This window comes from Homo sapiens, chromosome X (assembly GCF_000001405.40).
Source record: "Homo sapiens chromosome X, GRCh38.p14 Primary Assembly".
NCBI classification, from domain to species: domain Eukaryota; kingdom Metazoa; phylum Chordata; class Mammalia; order Primates; family Hominidae; genus Homo; species Homo sapiens.
Window position 1 is genome coordinate 48,778,686 of NC_000023.11, and position 17,772 is coordinate 48,796,457.

The 17,772-nt window shown below is 50.6% G+C and overlaps 1 protein-coding gene across 1 annotated transcript, besides 10 other annotated features; it reads left to right on the forward strand.

The window, feature by feature from the left end:
• Positions 3,979–4,707: an enhancer, noted in NCBI's record as "fragment used in the e-GATA1 reporter construct". NCBI's record gives its function as "activates a MYC promoter by reporter assays in K562 erythroleukemia cells {active_cell/tissue: K562}" and the evidence as "EXISTENCE:reporter gene assay evidence [ECO:0000049][PMID:27708057]".
• Positions 4,052–4,632: a transcriptional cis regulatory region, noted in NCBI's record as "candidate enhancer chrX.952 targeted for multiplex CRISPR interference". NCBI's record gives its function as "positively regulates expression of the GATA1 gene with high confidence and the CCDC22 gene with lower confidence in K562 erythroleukemia cells {active_cell/tissue: K562}" and the evidence as "EXISTENCE:mutant phenotype evidence [ECO:0000015][PMID:30612741]".
• Positions 4,112–4,612: a transcriptional cis regulatory region, noted in NCBI's record as "intergenic|chrX:48641205-48641705 region (GRCh37/hg19 assembly coordinates) targeted for CRISPR interference". NCBI's record gives its function as "positively regulates expression of GATA1 and negatively regulates expression of PLP2 in K562 cells {active_cell/tissue: K562}" and the evidence as "EXISTENCE:mutant phenotype evidence [ECO:0000015][PMID:31784727]".
• Positions 4,279–4,400: a transcriptional cis regulatory region, noted in NCBI's record as "e-GATA1 or chrX:48641372-48641493 region (GRCh37/hg19 assembly coordinates) targeted for CRISPR interference". NCBI's record gives its function as "positively regulates GATA1 and HDAC6 gene expression in K562 erythroleukemia cells {active_cell/tissue: K562}" and the evidence as "EXISTENCE:manual assertion [ECO:0000218][PMID:33828297]" and "EXISTENCE:mutant phenotype evidence [ECO:0000015][PMID:27708057]".
• Positions 5,932–6,592: a transcriptional cis regulatory region, noted in NCBI's record as "intergenic|chrX:48643025-48643685 region (GRCh37/hg19 assembly coordinates) targeted for CRISPR interference". NCBI's record gives its function as "positively regulates expression of GATA1 and negatively regulates expression of HDAC6 and PLP2 in K562 cells {active_cell/tissue: K562}" and the evidence as "EXISTENCE:mutant phenotype evidence [ECO:0000015][PMID:31784727]".
• Positions 7,032–8,152: a transcriptional cis regulatory region, noted in NCBI's record as "promoter|chrX:48644125-48645245 region (GRCh37/hg19 assembly coordinates) targeted for CRISPR interference". NCBI's record gives its function as "negatively regulates HDAC6, PLP2 and PQBP1 gene expression in K562 cells {active_cell/tissue: K562}" and the evidence as "EXISTENCE:mutant phenotype evidence [ECO:0000015][PMID:31784727]".
• On the forward strand, positions 7,905–15,626 carry GATA1 (GATA binding protein 1). The gene is made up of 6 exons (NM_002049.4): positions 7,905–7,960; positions 12,406–12,644; positions 13,159–13,536; positions 13,638–13,783; positions 14,487–14,612; positions 15,108–15,626. Exons 2-6 carry the CDS (start codon positions 12,425–12,427, stop codon positions 15,477–15,479), a joined length of 1,242 nt encoding a protein of 413 aa, NP_002040.1. The 5' UTR covers positions 7,905–7,960; positions 12,406–12,424; the 3' UTR covers positions 15,480–15,626.
• Positions 10,712–11,292: a transcriptional cis regulatory region, noted in NCBI's record as "genic|chrX:48647805-48648385 region (GRCh37/hg19 assembly coordinates) targeted for CRISPR interference". NCBI's record gives its function as "negatively regulates PLP2 gene expression in K562 cells {active_cell/tissue: K562}" and the evidence as "EXISTENCE:mutant phenotype evidence [ECO:0000015][PMID:31784727]".
• Positions 14,613–15,113: a transcriptional cis regulatory region, noted in NCBI's record as "genic|chrX:48651705-48652205 region (GRCh37/hg19 assembly coordinates) targeted for CRISPR interference". NCBI's record gives its function as "negatively regulates PLP2 gene expression in K562 cells {active_cell/tissue: K562}" and the evidence as "EXISTENCE:mutant phenotype evidence [ECO:0000015][PMID:31784727]".
• Positions 15,513–16,073: a transcriptional cis regulatory region, noted in NCBI's record as "genic|chrX:48652605-48653165 region (GRCh37/hg19 assembly coordinates) targeted for CRISPR interference". NCBI's record gives its function as "negatively regulates PQBP1 gene expression in K562 cells {active_cell/tissue: K562}" and the evidence as "EXISTENCE:mutant phenotype evidence [ECO:0000015][PMID:31784727]".
• Positions 16,133–16,633: a transcriptional cis regulatory region, noted in NCBI's record as "intergenic|chrX:48653225-48653725 region (GRCh37/hg19 assembly coordinates) targeted for CRISPR interference". NCBI's record gives its function as "negatively regulates PLP2 gene expression in K562 cells {active_cell/tissue: K562}" and the evidence as "EXISTENCE:mutant phenotype evidence [ECO:0000015][PMID:31784727]".

A 17,772-nucleotide genomic window follows, 5' to 3' on the forward strand; every position in this document is an offset into this window, starting at 1 on the left:
AAGACCTAAATAAATGGAAAGACATCACATGTTCATGGATTGGAAGACTTTATAGTGTTAAGATGGCAATACTCCCCAAATTGATCTACAGACTTGATGCAATCCCTATCAGAATCCCAGCTTGCTTCTTTGCAGAACTGACAAGCTGATTCACATGGGAGTGCTAGGGGCCCAAAATACAACAATCTTGAAAAAGAAAAACAAAGTTAGAGGACTCACACCTTCCAGTTTAAAAACTTACTATACAGCTACAGTAATCAAGACCATGTGCTACTGGCATAAAAACATACATATAAATTAACGAAATAGAATTGAAAGTCCAGAAATAAATTCATACATTATAGGCAACTGATTTTTTTGAGACAGGGACTTGCTCTGTTGCCCAGTCACAAACATAGCTCACTGCAGCCTCAAACTCCTGGGCTAAGCGATACTCCCACATCAGCCTCCCAAGTAGCTGGGACTACAGGCATGCACCACTGTGCTCAGCTAATTTTTAAAAAACTTTTTGTAGAGACAGGGTCTCAATGTGTTGGACAGGCTGAACTCCTGGGTTCAAGTGATCCTCCCACGTTGGCCTCCCAAAATGCTGGGATTACAGGTGTGAGCCACTGTGTCCAGCTAGCAATTGATTTTTGACAAGTGTACCAAGACCATTCAATGGGGAAAGAATGCTCCTTTCAACAAATGGTGCTGAGACAGCTGAGTATCCACATGCAAAAGAATAAAGTGGGACCCCTTCCTCATACCATATACAAAAAACAACTCAAAACAGATCAAAGACCTAAATGTAAGAGCTAAAACGATAAAACTTTTAGAACGGGGGTCCCCAACCTCCAGGCCACAAACCCATCTGTGGTCTCTTAGAAACTGGGCCACACAGCAGGAGGTGAGCTGCGGCTTGCTGCCATTCATGAAGCTGAGCCCGCCTCCTGTCAAATCAGCTGCAGCATTAGATTCTCTTAGGAGCTCAAACCCTATTGTGAACTGTGCATGCGAGGGATTTAGGTTGTGCACTCCTTATGAGACTCTAATGTAACGCGCTTGAATCATCCTGAAAACATCCCCACTTCTGTGGAAAAAAATTGTCTTCCATGAAACTGGTCCCTGGTGCCAAAAAGTTGGGGACCGCTGCTTTAGAAGAAAACAGGCTTAAGTCTTTGTGACCTTGGATTAGGCAATGGTTTCTTAGACGTGACATCTAAAGCATAAGCAGCCAAAGAAAAATAGACACACTGGAGTTCATCAAAACTATAAGCTTTCTGGCTGGACGCAGTGGCTCACGCCTGTAATCTCACCACTTTGTGAGGCTGAGGTGAGTGGATTGCTTGAGCCCAGGAGCTCAAGACCAGCCTAGGCAACATGGTGAAACCCCATCTCTGCAAAAAATACAAAAATTAGCCAGGAACGGTGGCATGCAACTGTAGTCCCAGCTACTTGGGGGACTGAGGCAGGAGGATCACTTGAGCCTGGGGGGTCAAGGCCTCGGTGAGCCACGTTCACCCCCACTGCACTGCAGCCTGGGTGACAAAGTGAGAACCTGTCTCAAAAAAAAAAAAAGTGAAAAGACAACCTACAGAAGACAATATTTGAAAATCACATATCTAAAAAGAGTCTAGTATCCAGAATACATAAAGAACTCTTACTACTCAACAATAAAAGGACAAATAACCCAATTCAAAATGGGCAAAGGATTTAAATAAACACTTCTCCAAAGAAGATAAATGGGCTGGGCACGGTGGCTCATGCCTGTAATCCCAGCATTTTGGGAGACTGAGGCGGATGGATCACTTGTGGTCAGGAGTTCGAGACTGGCCTGGCCAACATAGTGAAACCCCATCTCTCCTAATAATACAAAAATTAGCCAGGCATGGTGGCGGGTGCCTGTAATCCCAGCTACTCAGGAGACTGAGGCAGGATAATCACTTGAACCCAGCAGGTGGAGGCTGCAGTGAGCCAAGATCGTGCCACTGCACTCCAGCCTGGGTGACAGAGCAAGACTACATCTCAAAAAAAAAAAAAAAAAAAAAAAGAAGATAGATGACCAACAAGTTTATGAAAATATGCTCAACATCAGTGGTCACAGGGAAATGCAAATCAAAACCATAACAAGACACCACTTCACACCCACACCCAGTAGGATGGCTAGAATCAAAAAGAGGGACAATAAAAAGTGTTGGAGGCCAGGCATGGTAGCCTGTAATTCCAGCACTTTGCAAGGCCAAGGCAGGCAGATTGCTTGAGCCCAGTAGTTTGAGACTAGCGTAGGCAACGTGGCGAAAATCCCATCTCTACGAAAAATTAACAAAAATTTAGCTGGGTGTGATGGCATGCACCTGTAGTCCTGGCTACTCAGGAGGTTGAGGTGGGAGGATCACTTGAACCCAGGAGGTTGAGGCTGCAGTGAGCAGAGATCATGTCACTGTACTCCAGCCTGGGGAACAGAGTGAGACCCTGCCAAACAAAAGAAAAAAGAAAAAAAAGAAAAAAGAAAGAAAGAAAGAAAGAGAGAGAGAGAGAGAGAGAGAAAGAAAGAAAGAAAGAAAGAAAGAAAGAAAGAAAGAAAGAAAGAAAGAAGAAAGAAAAGAAAAGAAAAGAAAAGAAAGAAAGAAAGAAAGAAAGAAAGGAGTGTTGGAGAGAATGTGGTTAAATTTAAATTTGAATCCCCATATGGCAGCTGTGGAGAACACTTGCAGTTCCTCAGAAAGTTAAACATAGAATTACCATATCACCCCGCAATTCCATTCCTAGTTATATACCCAAGAAAACGAAAAACATATGTCCACATAAAAACTTTCACATGAATGTTCATAGCAGCATTATTTGTGATAGCCAAGAGTCCATCAATGGGTGAATGGATAAGCATAATGTGGCATTTCTTTTTCCTTTTATCTTTTGAGACAGGGTCTCACTCTGTTGCCCAGGCTGGAGTGCAGTGGTGCAATCATGGCTCACTGCAGCCTCAACTTGCTGATCCTCCCACCTGAGCCCCCCAAGTAGCTGGGACCACAGGCATGCACCACCACACCCGGCTAATTTTTCTTTTTTGTAGACACGTGTTCTTGCTACGCTGCCCAGGCTGGTCTCGAACTCCTGGGCTCAAGCAATCCACCCACCTCAACCTCCCAAAGTGCTGAGATTACAGGTGTGAGCCACCGCATCCTAGCTATAATGTAGTAGGTATTTTCATACAAAGGAATATTATTCAGTCATGAAAATGAATGAAGTACTGATACATGCTACAATATGAATGAACCTTAAAAAACTTATGTGAAGTAAAAGAAGGCAGTTACAAAAGGCCACATATTATATGACTGCATTTATATGAAATGTCCAAAACAGACAAATTCATAGAGACAAAGAGATTTGTGATGGCCCGGGGATGGGAGGAGAGGGAAATGGAATGGGAGGGTGTATGTTAATAGATATAGGGTTCCTTTTGGGGGTGATGAAAATGTTCTGGAATTAGGTAGTGGATAGTTACACAACCTCGTGATATACTAATCGCTTTGCTATACATTTTAAGAGTGAATTTTATGGTTAAGAGCAAATTTTATGGTATGTGAATTATGTCTCAATAAACAGAAAAAGAAAAAAAAGAATGAACTATTGATACACACGACAATGTGGAAGAATGTCACAGACATTATGCTGAGCAAAAGCAGCACATACTGTATGATGTGCTTCCATTTCCATGAAGTGCAAAAACAGGCCAAAAAAACCCCAGGTATCATATGGTGTTTATGGGTACCAACATATGGAGTGATGGAGTAAAAATACTCATGAGGAAGATAAACACCAAGCTCAAGGCAGTAGAAGGAGAGAGGGAAATGGAATCAGTACAAGAGCATCTGTAATATCGCATATCCTTTAAAAACAATCTGAAGTCAATAAGGCAAAATATTAATGTTTGACAAAAGTAGATGCTTGTTACAGCACCCTTTATACTTTCCATTTTTTAAAACAGTCAACCAACAGTTTGTTTCTGAGGGCAAACGCTTGACTCCTTAACCAGGCTTTGGTTGACATTTGCCTTGGTGCTTTTGACACCACAGTCTGTCAGGCTCTGTCCCCACCCTGATGGGCTCCACAGTACAGAAGAGGCACAAACAGTACAAATGCCATGGGGCCTGGACCAAGCAGGGGCTCTAGAACCCCAGAAGATGCCAGGAGGGAGTGAGCCAGTCAGGGAAGGCTTCCGAGAAGAGAGGACATTGAAGAAGAGTCTCAAACTTAGGCCTGACGGAGAAGACGCGCGGCCAGGACACCCCACCCCCGCCCTCGTCTCCCCCAAAGCCTGATCTGGCCCCACTGATTCCCTTATCTGCCCACTCCCAGCTGCCTCCTTGCTGGCTGAACTGTCGCCGCAGACTTCTGAGCCTGCGCCCCCTCCACGGGGATGGGGGAGGGAATGGGGTGAGGCCTGGCCTCACAGCCTCGGGGTTTCCAGCTCTTGCTGGAGGCAGGGCTCTGGGGCGCCCTACTCCTCACCCTTGGCTTCTCTTCCTGAGCGCTCTGTGCTCTCCAGAAATGAAGAAATGGGGTGAGTCCAGCGGCCAAACCCTTGTCTTAGCTCTTAGACATGCCTCGAGCCTGCCATTCCCTGTGAGGACAGATTTCCCTATGTTGCGACCGCTGCTTCTAATAATAATAATGATGATGATAATTCCCATTTACAGAGCACACCATTTATGGTGTGCCAGCAGGCCCTGTGCTGAGTGGTTCCTACCCACGTGGGGGGCTAGGACTTTACCCGTTTTCCAGATGAAGAAACTGAGGCTCAGAGGGCGTCTGGCCCAGGAATCACACAGCAAATCACACAGCAAATCAGAGTTGAGACAAGAACCCAGGGCCCTGGAGGAACATCTTCATTTCCACACACCTATGTAGAACCAGTCTGGAGGTGAGGGCAATTATACACACTTGCACCACAAGGAGCTGGTGAGAATGCGATAGAATTATGGGTGGAGAGCGCTTAGCACAGTGCCTGGGGTCACTCAGCAAATAATGCCGCTGCTGTTATTATTAGTCTATTAATGCTATTATTAATATCAGAATTAAACAAGCCTCGGCAACATAGCGAGACTTCATCTCTATTGAAAAAAAATTTTTTGCTGGGTGTGGTGGCATGCACCTGAAGTCCCAGCTCCTCAGGAGGTTGAGGTGGGAGGATCACTTGAGCCCAGGAGGTGGAGGCTGCAGTGAGCCAAGATTGTCACTGCACTCCAGCCTGAGTGACATAGTGAGACACTGTCCCCAAAAAATATTTAGTACGTATCATTATCACTATTGTTGTTAGAATTAGAATAGTTTTAGAATTAGTGTTAGTATTAATAATAGTATTAGTGTTAGATTAAAATTAGTATTAGCATTAGATGAGTATTACTATGAAAATTAGTATGTCCTCATAGAAGTAGAGAGTAGAATAGTGGTTACCAGCAGATGGGAGGGTAGGAGGCAGGGAGGGATGGGGAGAGGCTGTCAATGGGTACAAAGCTACAGTTAGATAGGAGGCATAAGTTCTGGTGTTCTAATGCATAGTACAATGACTAGAGTCAACAATAAATGTATATTTCAAAATAGCTGAAAGAGGCGTTCTCGAATGTTCTCATCACAAAGAAAAGATAAATGTTTAAGGTGATGAATATGCTAATTACCTTGATTTGATCACTACACAATGTATACATGTAACAAAACATCATGTTTTACCCCATATATATGTACAACTATTATGTGTCAATCATAAATTTAAAGAAATAAAATTAGTTTTAGTGTCAGTATCAATATTACAATATTGGTATTACTCTTAGTGTCAGCATATTATTAGCATTAGTACTATAAGTAGTAGTAGGGTTAGAAAGGGCTATGTACTCTCCCTTGTATGCAGTAGGTACTCAATAAATAAATAGGGGTACTTAATATTTATTGAGATTTCAGATTCAAGTAAGTTAAGATCATGTAACATGGGTTAAAACTCATTTAGTCTCCCCAGTCACTGCATGGAGTGGCTTATTGGGGTATATTATTACCCCATTTTTACAGATGAGGAGCTAAATTCCAGAGGGGATGGTAACTCTCCCAAGGTCACCTGATCCATTAGTGGTTAGGGCAGTCTATGAACGAGGATGAGCTGGCTCTAGAGACCATCTCCTGAAACCACTGCCACTTAAGTCAGAGGTGTCTTTGTATTCGTTCTCCTTATTACTGATGAGGGTTCAGCATGGGGCGTGGCACACCAGCAGGAGCTCAATAAATAGGAATTCATGGGCTTGCTCTCTTTCCTCCTCAAATCTCCCATTGCATATGAGGACACTGAGGCTCAGAGGAGTGAGATAAGAATGGTAAGATCCCTCCAGGGTGGGCCAGTGGGCAAGCTGACCCCACTGACCTGGGGCTCCACCCTTGGCCTCTGCCCTTTGTAGGTCTCAGTCTCCCCATCTGTAGACTAGGTGGGCAGGACAGCTCCTTGTCCCACGTGTGCATGTGTGTCAGATGCTTTCATATAGAAAAAGTGCTCAGGTTAGGTACAAGTCTATGTGAGGTCTATGAGACACTGTGGTTGTTGTCATTAATATTTGGAGGAGGTGGGGCAGGGCAAGAGTGTGGGGACTGGGGTGCGGAGGCCTAGCCACATTCTGGTTGTCCCCTGCTGAGGGCTGAGGGCAGAGCCACAGGCTACATCAATCCACATCCTCCCATCCTACCTGCATGGGCACCACATGCCCAGGGTGTGATCCAGTCTGCCTGGACCTTCTTCTGAGTCTGTCTCTGAATATCCCTCTGTCTCTGTCTCCCTTCTCAGTTCTCCACTTCTGTCTTTGGCCTCTTTCCCTTTCAGGTTTTATCTGTCACTTCTGTCCATCTCTGTCTCTCATTCTCTCTTTGCCTCTCTCTATATGTCTTTAATGGTCTCTGGTTCTCCCCGGGTGTCTCGCCCTCTTTGTCTCTCCTTTTCTTTTGTGCCCTCTCTCTGCCTCTTTCCACGTCTGTCTCCTTCTCTATTCATCTCTGTCACTCTCTTTCTCCCCATTTCCATCTCTCTCCGCCTATCTCTGTTTTTGTTTGTCTCTCTGCCTCTGTCTCTCCCACTCCACCCCTTTCCTTTCCTACCCTATACCACTCCTCGAGGAATCATCCCTGGCTCCCACCTCAGTTTCCCGCCTCCAAGGCAGCATGGCGGGCAAGAAGTTGAGGCCACTGTCCCTGGGTGTTCCTACCCCCACACCCTCACCCCAAGACAGCCTGTTACTGCGGCGCCAACAGCCACGGTCGCCTACATCTGATAAGACTTATCTGCTGCCCCAGGGCAGGCCGGAGCTGGCGTAAGCCCCAGTGGGGCGCTAAGTGAGTGTGCCCCTGCCTCCCGCCAGCACTGGCCTGGCCTGCAGGCTTAGCCTGGGTCATCAAGGTATCCCACAGGCTCTAGTTCAAATCCAGCAGAACCTCTCTGAGCCTCACTCTTCTCACCTGCAAAATGGGTACAGCCACATCCCTTCTCTCCCTGCAGCCAGGAAGACGCACATACACAGGAGTCTAGCCCACACCGGCCCCGCACAAATTAAGGGCTTTACTCTCTGAAAAGCCCAGTGAAGTCATGAAACCATATCTGCTATTTTCATTTATCTTGGTTTCAGCCTATTTTGCTTGTCTGGACACTACAGTCCACGGGAGCCTAGGTCGAGCGAGGTCCAAGAATCCCCAGGGTGGGCAGGGAGGGTGGAAGAGGGCCTCCAGTGCCCAAGAGGTGCCCCACAAGCATGGGACCCGCCCCCTCCCCTGGACTGCCCCACCCACTGGGGCACCAGCCACTCCCTGGGGAGGAGGGAGGAGGGAGAAGGGAGGGAGGGAGGGAGGGAGGAAGGGAGCCTCAAAGGCCAAGGCCAGCCAGGACACCCCCTGGGATCACACTGAGCTTGCCACATCCCCAAGGCGGCCGAACCCTCCGCAACCACCAGCCCAGGTCAGTCTCAGCCCCCAGAGAGCCCCCACCAAGGCAACCCTGGGCCTGCTGCCCCTACCCTTATGCTTGCTCCAGGCTCCCCAACCCACAGCTGGTCCCCAAAGTGTCAGCCAGCCCTGAATCCCTTTACAGCTCCTCCAACCCACCTGTCTTTCCAACTCCCATTTCTACCCCAAATCTACCCCCTAAACCCCACCTCTTTCTGCCCTCTCATCCACTCCGTCCAAGATATCTATATCCTCTGGATCCCTTCACTTTGCTCGCTATACCCCTAGGTCTGTCTCCCCTAAACACTAACTCTGTCTCCCAAAACATGACTTTATCTCCCCAAATCCTTTCCCTGTCCCATATCTGATTTCCACTCACCCAAACTTGTCTCTGTCTCCCTGACTTCTCCTCCAAACCTCACTTTTCTGCTCCCAAACCCCTTATCTGCTCTACAACGCCTTGTCTTTGCCCCACTCTCTCTGAGCCCCCAAACCTGTCTCTGATCTGCCAAACCCTAGCTCCATCCTCTTACCACCATCTCTGCCTTTCAAACCCACTCTTTGTTCCCAATGACTTCTCTCTGATCTCCGCAAACCATTTATCTCTCCCAACTCCCTGCCTGCTCAGTAAAATATCTTTGTCACTTCAAACACCAAGTCAACTCCCCAAAATCTGTTCTGCCGCATGAACCCTCATGTCTGCCTTCCCCAAACCGTATCTCAGCCCTAAAACACATCTCATTGTCTCCCTGAATCTCTCCAGCTCCAAGCCTTTCTCTACTCCAATTCTATCTTGGCTTCTCAAACTCCCCTTTACTAGCCACATTCTGTCTGCCCAAACAGATCTTTGACTCCTAAACTCCATCTCTCCTCCAGAAAAACCCTTGAACTCCCCAGACTTTTCTATGACCCTCAGAATCTGACTCCCACACTACTTCTCAACTTTATTTCTGACTCTCAAACTTCGCCCCGATCCCCCAACCTCGTCTGTTTTCACAACCTATTCCTGAGCCCAAAATGTGTCTCTGAACTTCCAAGCTCGTCTCTGCTCCACAACCCCGCCCATATCTGCCTCCCCACAAACTCCATGGCTACACCCCAAACCTCTCTGACTTAACCCCATATCTGACCTTCAAATTCCACCTCTATCTCCCCCTAAGCCCCATATCTGCCCCCTAGACCTTATATCTGCTCCCTTCAGCCCGGTGAGACCCTCCCTTGAGGGCTGGGATTGGAACGTTACCTGGGGTGAGGGGCTGGGGCCGAGGGAGAGTGGAGGGTGCCAGCTGCTGCCTGCTGCCGCCGTTGGGGCAACACTTACTCTAGTGGGGCAGCTGATAAGGAGCTTTCATATCCCCCAGCCTCGAGATAAACTTTATCTCTGTCCGGAGAGTGATAACTGGGGGTGAGGAGGCTGGGCCCCTGCCATGGGAGGGGTGGGCAGCCCTGGACTCACCAACGTGTGAGGTGCAGGGGTTGGGGGCAGTGGGGCTGGAGGGAGATCATGGTGGGTAAGGTGGAGTTGAGGGGATGAGGGAATAGTGGTGAAAGAGTGAGCAGAAGACACACAATGAGACAGGGAAGAGAGGGAGAAACAGGGAGAGATGGGAAGAGAGAGACAGAGACACAGAGACAAAGAGCAAGAGACAAAAGAGACATGAAGAGAAAGGAAAAACAGAGAGAGAGAAACTCAACGAGTAAGAGACAGAGACAGACAGATGGCCGGAGAAAAAGAAGGAAAGACCCGGGAGCAGAAAAGGAGATAGAAATGCAGAGATACACGCAGGTAGCACTGTGAAGAGGCAGAGACTAACACAGAATTAGAGACAGAGAGGAAAGAGATGGAGACCAAGATGGGGAAGCAAAACACTCTCTTCAGAGAGCAACAGCAGGCACCCTGGGGCTGAGAAGGTGTTGGCGGTGGGCACACTTGTGGCCCATCTCTTTCCTAGCATAACTCCCAAGCCTGGGCCTGCCCCTTAGCCTGTCTATACCATGGGTCATGTAAGCAGGAGTGAGGGGCAGTTTGAAGACAGCCTTCTAGTCTAGCCCTGTCACTCCACCCTACAGACACAGAAACAGAGCAGGCCAGCACAATAGGGCCAGGGCCAGCATTCCAGGCTCCTTATCCTGAGCTGCATGTGGCTGGGTACGGTCAGGGGTATGGGACTAGTAAGAGGCACGTGGACATAAGGTCAGAGGGCCCAAAGAGAGGGAAACAGAGGGAACAGACAAACAAGCAGGAAGAGTGGGAGAGATGCAGAGATGTTCAGAGAGATAGGAGAGGAGAGGGAGAAAGCAAGAGTAACAGAAAGAGAGAGCCAGAGAGAGAAACATGGGAAGACAGAAAAGAAGACAGAAAATCATCAAACATTACAAAAGCACAGAAAGAGGTCGGGCGCAGTGGCTCACGCCTATAACCTCAGCACTGTGGGAGGCCGAGGTGGGCCGATCACTTGAGGTCAGGAGTTCAAGACCAGCCTGGCCAACATGGCAAAACCTCGTCTTTACTAAAAATACAAAAATTAGCTGGGTGTGGTGGCATGTGCCTGTAATCCCAGCTACTAGGGAGGCTGAGGCACGAGAATCACTTGAACCTGGGAGGCTGGGGTTGCAGTGAGCTGAGATCGCACCACTGCACACCAGCCTGGGTGACAGAGTGAGACTCCGTCTCAAAAAAAAAAAAAAAAGAAAAAGAAAAAGCACAGAAGGAGAAGACAAGCTATATCATAGAAACACAGAAAGCTGGGGAAGCTACAGAGTCAGACTTGAGAGGGAACAGAGAGTCAGGGGAAAGAGCCCCAGGGGATAGAGAAGTGGAGAGCTAGATGACAGACACACACAAGGCAAAACAGGCAAAGGGCCATCCCACAGGTCTCAGCTCAGCCCCAGCCCATCACCACCCCCAATACAGCAGATGGGGAAACTGAGGCCTGGGAACTGAAAGAGCCTGAAAGCAGAACTCTGGTGGGCCTCTCCAGGGGAGAGGGTACCGGTAGAGGTACCTCCCACCTGCCACCCTCTTCAGAGGAAGTCAGTGGCCTTGGGGTGATTTCAAAAGTTGGGCGGGGAAGGCAGAGATAAGCAGTGGGGGGTACTGACCCCCCCCCAACCAAGAAGTAGGGAGGAACTAAGGGGGCCTTCTGTCTGTAGACGCAACAGAGGTGGAGGGAGGAGGGAGTCAAGCCCGGAAACCATGGGGTTTCTGAGAAAGTTAGAGGGCAAGATACAACAGATAGGGATGAAGTTGGGGAGCAGAGGATGGTGAACCCCAAAGTCCTGGGTGAAGTGACCAAGAGGCAAGGGACTCTGGTCCTGCATGCCATCCCACCCTCACCCAGACTCTTCTAGAGGGGGAGGGAAGAAAGGACGGGGGGACGGGGAGAATAAGAGGAAGTGGAGGAGGGGAGGAGAGGAGATGGGGAAAGGGAGAAAAGGATGAACAGAAAAGGGAGGAGAAGGATGAAGAAATTGGAGGGGAGGAGAAAATGAGTAGTAGGAGAAAGGAGTGGAGAGTAGATGTAGACAGGGGAAGAGAGGCCGGAAGTGGTGGCTCACACCTGTAATCCCAGTACTTTGGGAGGCTGAGGTGGGAGGATCACTTGAGGCCAGGAGTTCAAGACCAGCCTGGGCAACAGAGTCATACCCCATTTCTACAAAAAAAAAACAAAAACTAGCCAGGCCTGGTGGCACACACCTGTAGTCCCAGCTACTCAGGAGGCTGAGGCAGGAGGATCACTGCCGGGAGGCAGTGGTTGCAGTGAGCCGAGATCGTGCCACTGCACTCCAGCCTGGCAACAGAGGAGACCCTGCCTCAAAAAAAAGTGTGTGTGGATGGGGGAGAGGGAGATAAGGTGTGTGAGAAAGGTAGAAAAGGAGAATGAAGACAAAAAGAGAAGGAGGACAAGGAAGAGGGGAAACAGGAAAGGAGAAGGAGGAGGTCAAGGAGGAAAAGAAGAAGGTGGAGGAGAAAAAGGAAGCAGGAGAGAATGAGAAAAGAGTGGAAAGAGAAGGAAATGGGGAAGAGGGGGGCAAAGAAGAGATGGGAAGAAGAGAGACGGGAGAAAGACAGGAGGAAAAGGGAAGGGGGGAAGAAGAGAGAGAATGGAAGGAAGAAGGGAGAGGTAGAAGCAGATGAGAGTGGAGGAAGAGCGAGAGGAGGGAGGAGAGGAAAGACAAACGGCAAGAGGGGGAGAACGAGGAGGAAGATGAAAGGAGGGGCACACAGGAGTGGAACGGGGAGATGCAGGAGGGAAAAGAGAGGAGAGGGAGGAAGAGAAGGAGGGGAAGGAGAGGGGAGACTAAGGTGAGGAGGAGGGGGGAATGGGGAGGTGGGAAGGAGAAATATGGAGACTGAGGTGATGGAGTGGGAGGAGGGGGAAAGGAGGGAAGAGGAGCAGGTGAAAGGAGGTGGGGGGGAAGGATTTCTGTGTCTGAGGACCCCTTCTGTCCTCGCAGGTTAATCCCCAGAGGCTCCATGGAGTTCCCTGGCCTGGGGTCCCTGGGGACCTCAGAGCCCCTCCCCCAGTTTGTGGATCCTGCTCTGGTGTCCTCCACACCAGAATCAGGGGTTTTCTTCCCCTCTGGGCCTGAGGGCTTGGATGCAGCAGCTTCCTCCACTGCCCCGAGCACAGCCACCGCTGCAGCTGCGGCACTGGCCTACTACAGGGACGCTGAGGCCTACAGACACTCCCCAGGTAACTCCATTGAGTGGCTGTCTTGGCATTGGCTGAGTGCTGTTGGGGTTGCCATGGAGATCCTTGGCTAGGTCAGAATACCACTGTGAGGATATCTCAGAAATGGCTGGAAGCTTCTCAAATGGATGTGCCGACCACTTTCCCTAGTTAAGTGCAGACCTGGGAATTCCAATGCTCCTCAACCTGCCATATTGGGGCGGCCACACTGAGAGGCAATACTGGAAGTATGTGGTGGTTGCCCTAGTTGTCGAGTGATCCGTGGAGCTCCAAATCCCAACAGTCATCCTCAAAAACCCACTTGGAAATGGTCAGAGGTTATTGCAGAGGCCACACTGACCAGTGGGGGTCAGGATCCAGGAAGCATCCAATGGCCAGCAGCTGTTCTGGTAGCCTGTGGAAAAGCTGGGAACTTGGCCACCATGTTGGGGGTGCTGGGAACCACTGCACCCTGACGTGCGCTGACCCTAGACTGATTTTGCCTCTTCTTTCCTCCATCCCTACCTGCCCCCAACAGTCTTTCAGGTGTACCCATTGCTCAACTGTATGGAGGGGATCCCAGGGGGCTCACCATATGCCGGCTGGGCCTACGGCAAGACGGGGCTCTACCCTGCCTCAACTGTGTGTCCCACCCGCGAGGACTCTCCTCCCCAGGCCGTGGAAGATCTGGATGGAAAAGGCAGCACCAGCTTCCTGGAGACTTTGAAGACAGAGCGGCTGAGCCCAGACCTCCTGACCCTGGGACCTGCACTGCCTTCATCACTCCCTGTCCCCAATAGTGCTTATGGGGGCCCTGACTTTTCCAGTACCTTCTTTTCTCCCACCGGGAGCCCCCTCAATTCAGCAGCCTATTCCTCTCCCAAGCTTCGTGGAACTCTCCCCCTGCCTCCCTGTGGTGAGAAATTCAAAAAAGGACAGGGAAGTTGAGGTGGGAGGGGTGGCCCAAAGTAAAGCTGAGCTGAGCCTAGCTCCCTCTTCTCCTCTCCACCCCACCAGAGGCCAGGGAGTGTGTGAACTGCGGAGCAACAGCCACTCCACTGTGGCGGAGGGACAGGACAGGCCACTACCTATGCAACGCCTGCGGCCTCTATCACAAGATGAATGGGCAGAACAGGCCCCTCATCCGGCCCAAGAAGCGCCTGGTAAGACCACAGACCTGCTTCACCTTATACACAGGAACCCCTGTCCTCACCCTGTACAAGAAGCCACATCTTCCCATTATATAGGAACGCTGTTCTCATGATTACAGGAAGCTACTGCAGGCCACCCTGTATGGGAACCCCTGTCCCAATATCACATGGAAACCCTTGCCTTCATCCTACACAGGAAAATCTCCTCATCCCATATGGAAATCCTTGCCCTCACCCTGCATGAGAACTCCTGCCCTTTCCTTGTACAGGAACCCAGATCTATAGAAGCTCCTATCCTCAACCTACCCTTATAAGCTTCAAACAGAAACCTTTGTCCTCACCCTGCACACCAGTGTTTTCGTCCTTGGCTTCACACTGGAATCACCCCAGGTCCCTTCTCCCAGATGTGCTGATGGAATTGGACTGGGATGCTGCTTGGGCATCAGGATATTTTAGCTCCCCAAGTGATTCCGATACGCAGCCAAAGCTGAGAACCACCAATGTAGTCCCCCATAGAATACAGAACAAAAGAAACTTATACCAGATAGGAACCCCTGTACTGGCCCCATACAGAATCCTCAGGCATCACCCTGTAAACAAAGCCCTGCCTTCAACCTGACCCTCACTTCTTGGGTCCTCCTGACATCCCCTGTGAGCCCCTTACCCCCACTTCCACATCCCCAGGGCACTGATCTCACATCCTGTCGTCCCCTAGATTGTCAGTAAACGGGCAGGTACTCAGTGCACCAACTGCCAGACGACCACCACGACACTGTGGCGGAGAAATGCCAGTGGGGATCCCGTGTGCAATGCCTGCGGCCTCTACTACAAGCTACACCAGGTGACGCCCTGCCCCTTGGAGCCACCCCTCTGCTTTCCCTGTCTTCATGCCACACTGCCCCCCACTCTGTTCCTGTTCTACCTCTCTCTTCCCCCACAACCCTCTTTCCTCTTTCCCCTTTCCCTCCTTCCTCCCCCTTCCCCCATCTCTTCTACTTTCCCCCTTCCTCCATCTCTTCTACTTTCCCCCTTCTCTGTTATTACCCTCCCTCCTTCCTTCTCCATTCCCTCCTCCTCCGCCCTCCTCCTTCCTCTCCTCTCCCCCACCTCCAGGCATCAGCTAATGTCCAACCCCCTGCCCTAGACCTTGGGCAGCTCCTATCAGCCTTGGAGGCTTTCCTAAGCTCAGGGCCTCACAGCCTCAGGATTCCTTGGACAATCTCAGCACCCAAAAATTATCTTACCCTGAAAGAAGTGGGGTAGAGAGGGTGTCCCTGGTTGACACAGAGAGGCAAAGGTCTGGAGTTGGGGACACCCGCAGCCTCCTTTTTGGCAGGTGAACCGGCCACTGACCATGCGGAAGGATGGTATTCAGACTCGAAACCGCAAGGCATCTGGAAAAGGGAAAAAGAAACGGGGCTCCAGTCTGGGAGGCACAGGAGCAGCCGAAGGACCAGCTGGTGGCTTTATGGTGGTGGCTGGGGGCAGCGGTAGCGGGAATTGTGGGGAGGTGGCTTCAGGCCTGACACTGGGCCCCCCAGGTACTGCCCATCTCTACCAAGGCCTGGGCCCTGTGGTGCTGTCAGGGCCTGTTAGCCACCTCATGCCTTTCCCTGGACCCCTACTGGGCTCACCCACGGGCTCCTTCCCCACAGGCCCCATGCCCCCCACCACCAGCACTACTGTGGTGGCTCCGCTCAGCTCATGAGGGCACAGAGCATGGCCTCCAGAGGAGGGGTGGTGTCCTTCTCCTCTTGTAGCCAGAATTCTGGACAACCCAAGTCTCTGGGCCCCAGGCACCCCCTGGCTTGAACCTTCAAAGCTTTTGTAAAATAAAACCACCAAAGTCCTGAAATTGTGGGTGTGTCTATGTGTGGCTGAACAGCAGAGCTGAGTGGAGTGTGTAACAATGCCTGTGGCTCTCTGATGACAGTGCATGGCTGCAATGTGTGACCATGTGAGGCTGGCTGAGGCGGCACATGTGACACTTTGTGACCAAGGGTTATGTTGTGTGATTGGAACAATCTATGTGAAACTTCTTGTGAAGTGTCCAGGTGGTTCCATATGTCATGGTAAGAGGCCACGCAGGGCTTGCTGACGGTGGGGGTGGTGCCGGGTGACTATAAGCACACTGGAAGTGTGTGTGCTGGAGCAGGTGATAAGGAGGTGTGCGGGGCTGTGGTCTTGTGGCTGGGCATGACGCTGGGGGACCTTTGAGACGGCATGACGCTGGGGGACCTTTTAGACAGCATGACAGCATACGTGGTGGGCACAGAATCTGGTAAAGATTCTTGGAATGTTGAACAAGAAGTGTGTGTCAGGATGTGTTTGTGGGTCTGGCGATGGCAATATTTCAGTGCAAGTCCCTGTGCATGGGCATGGGTGTGCGTGTGTGTGCATTACGTGTGGCATGTGCCATGTCACAGTGTCTCTGAGTGGCTGACAACATGAGCAGCTCTGTGTACATTTGTTTGTGGAGGTCTCAACAGCAGAGTTTCAGAGGGTATAAGTTAGGGACTCTCTTCCAAGGGACAAAAGACACATTCAGGAAAGGAACACGGAGAAGGGTGGAGCTGGAATGGTAGCTGGCAAGGTCAGAGGCCAGTGCTGGGGCGCAGGGTTGTCCGTGGGTCTTCCTGTCGGACTGGTCTTATCTTGCTCAGCCCAGCTCAGCCTGCAGCCCTGTGGGAAATGGTAGAGAATGAGAGGGGGAGATTAGGGGGACAAAGCAGCCCCTGGAGGTGGTTTCAACCTCAGTAGGTGGGGCGCTCCACACAGTGCCAACCCCTTCCCCAACATTCCCACTCACCTGGGTGAACTGCTCCCCCCACAGCGGAGTCTGTTCCTCAATTTCACAAACACACAGGAGCATAATCTGAGTCATGCCTTAAGCATCCTAAGGCAGACTGCTTAAGTGGCTCAATGGAGGCCACACAGCCAGTGGCAAGGGGCCCAGCGGGGCAGTCTGGCCTGGTGTCCATGTGCTCAGCCACACCCCACAGCCAGCAGCACCCTTTCCTAAGGGCTCACTGTGGGTCAGGCGGCAGGCTGGGAGGCTCCAGTTGCTTTAGTTCATTAGTGCCTGAAATAAATATTCTGAGGAAAATATACCCATACTCATTTCACTAATGGAAGAGTGAGGCCCAGAACTGATGAGTAACTTACCCTGACCACCAAGTTTAAGGAGTGGATTTTGGATGGGGTGACACACCCAGCCCAGCAAATAAGTGCTGCTCACACTTAACCGCTCTTTATGGCTTCTTCCCTAGAGCCCCGGATATGGGGGTTGCAGGGACCCACAGGTCCTGACCATATTATAGGTAAGCAGCTGTCCTCCACAGAACACCAGCCCATCAGCTAGCGGGCATTCCAGCTCCACTAAGTAGCCTGCTGCAGAATCACAGGAGTCTATTATGCTCACTGTGGGCATTGTCCACAACAGCCCTGATCCCATAAAAGACACGTGTCTGGCCTCCCCTCAGAAGCCCAGCCCTCACACCCTGCAGGAGGCCCCATCCTCTAAAAACCCCCTTCAGAACCTGTGCTGGACACATGTCTGGCCCCACCTTGTTCAGGAGCCCCGGGCCTCACCCCCATAAGTATAGCTCCCCCAGCCTGGTACAGAAGACTAGCTCTGAAGCTCTAGGGGAGCCCTTCATCTAATTATCGACAGGAAACCCATCCTGATCCTGTACAGGAATGCCAGCGCTTACCCTGAATAGGAGGAACCTCTGCCTAACCCCAGCTAGGGACATCTGGACTAAGCTGTAAGGAAGCCCCTGCACACCCTGGACAGGAACCCTTGTCCTGACCATCCACACAAGCCTCAGTCTCCCTATACGAATCCTGTCTTGACCTCAGACAGGAACACCTTTGTACTCACACTGCTGCAGTCCTGTCCTCCAGGTAGCATTTTAAAAACACCTCACTCACAATAATCTGAGTAGTAAACCATGGACCCAGCTCTGTCTTTACAGAAATCCCTGTCCTCAACCTCTTCA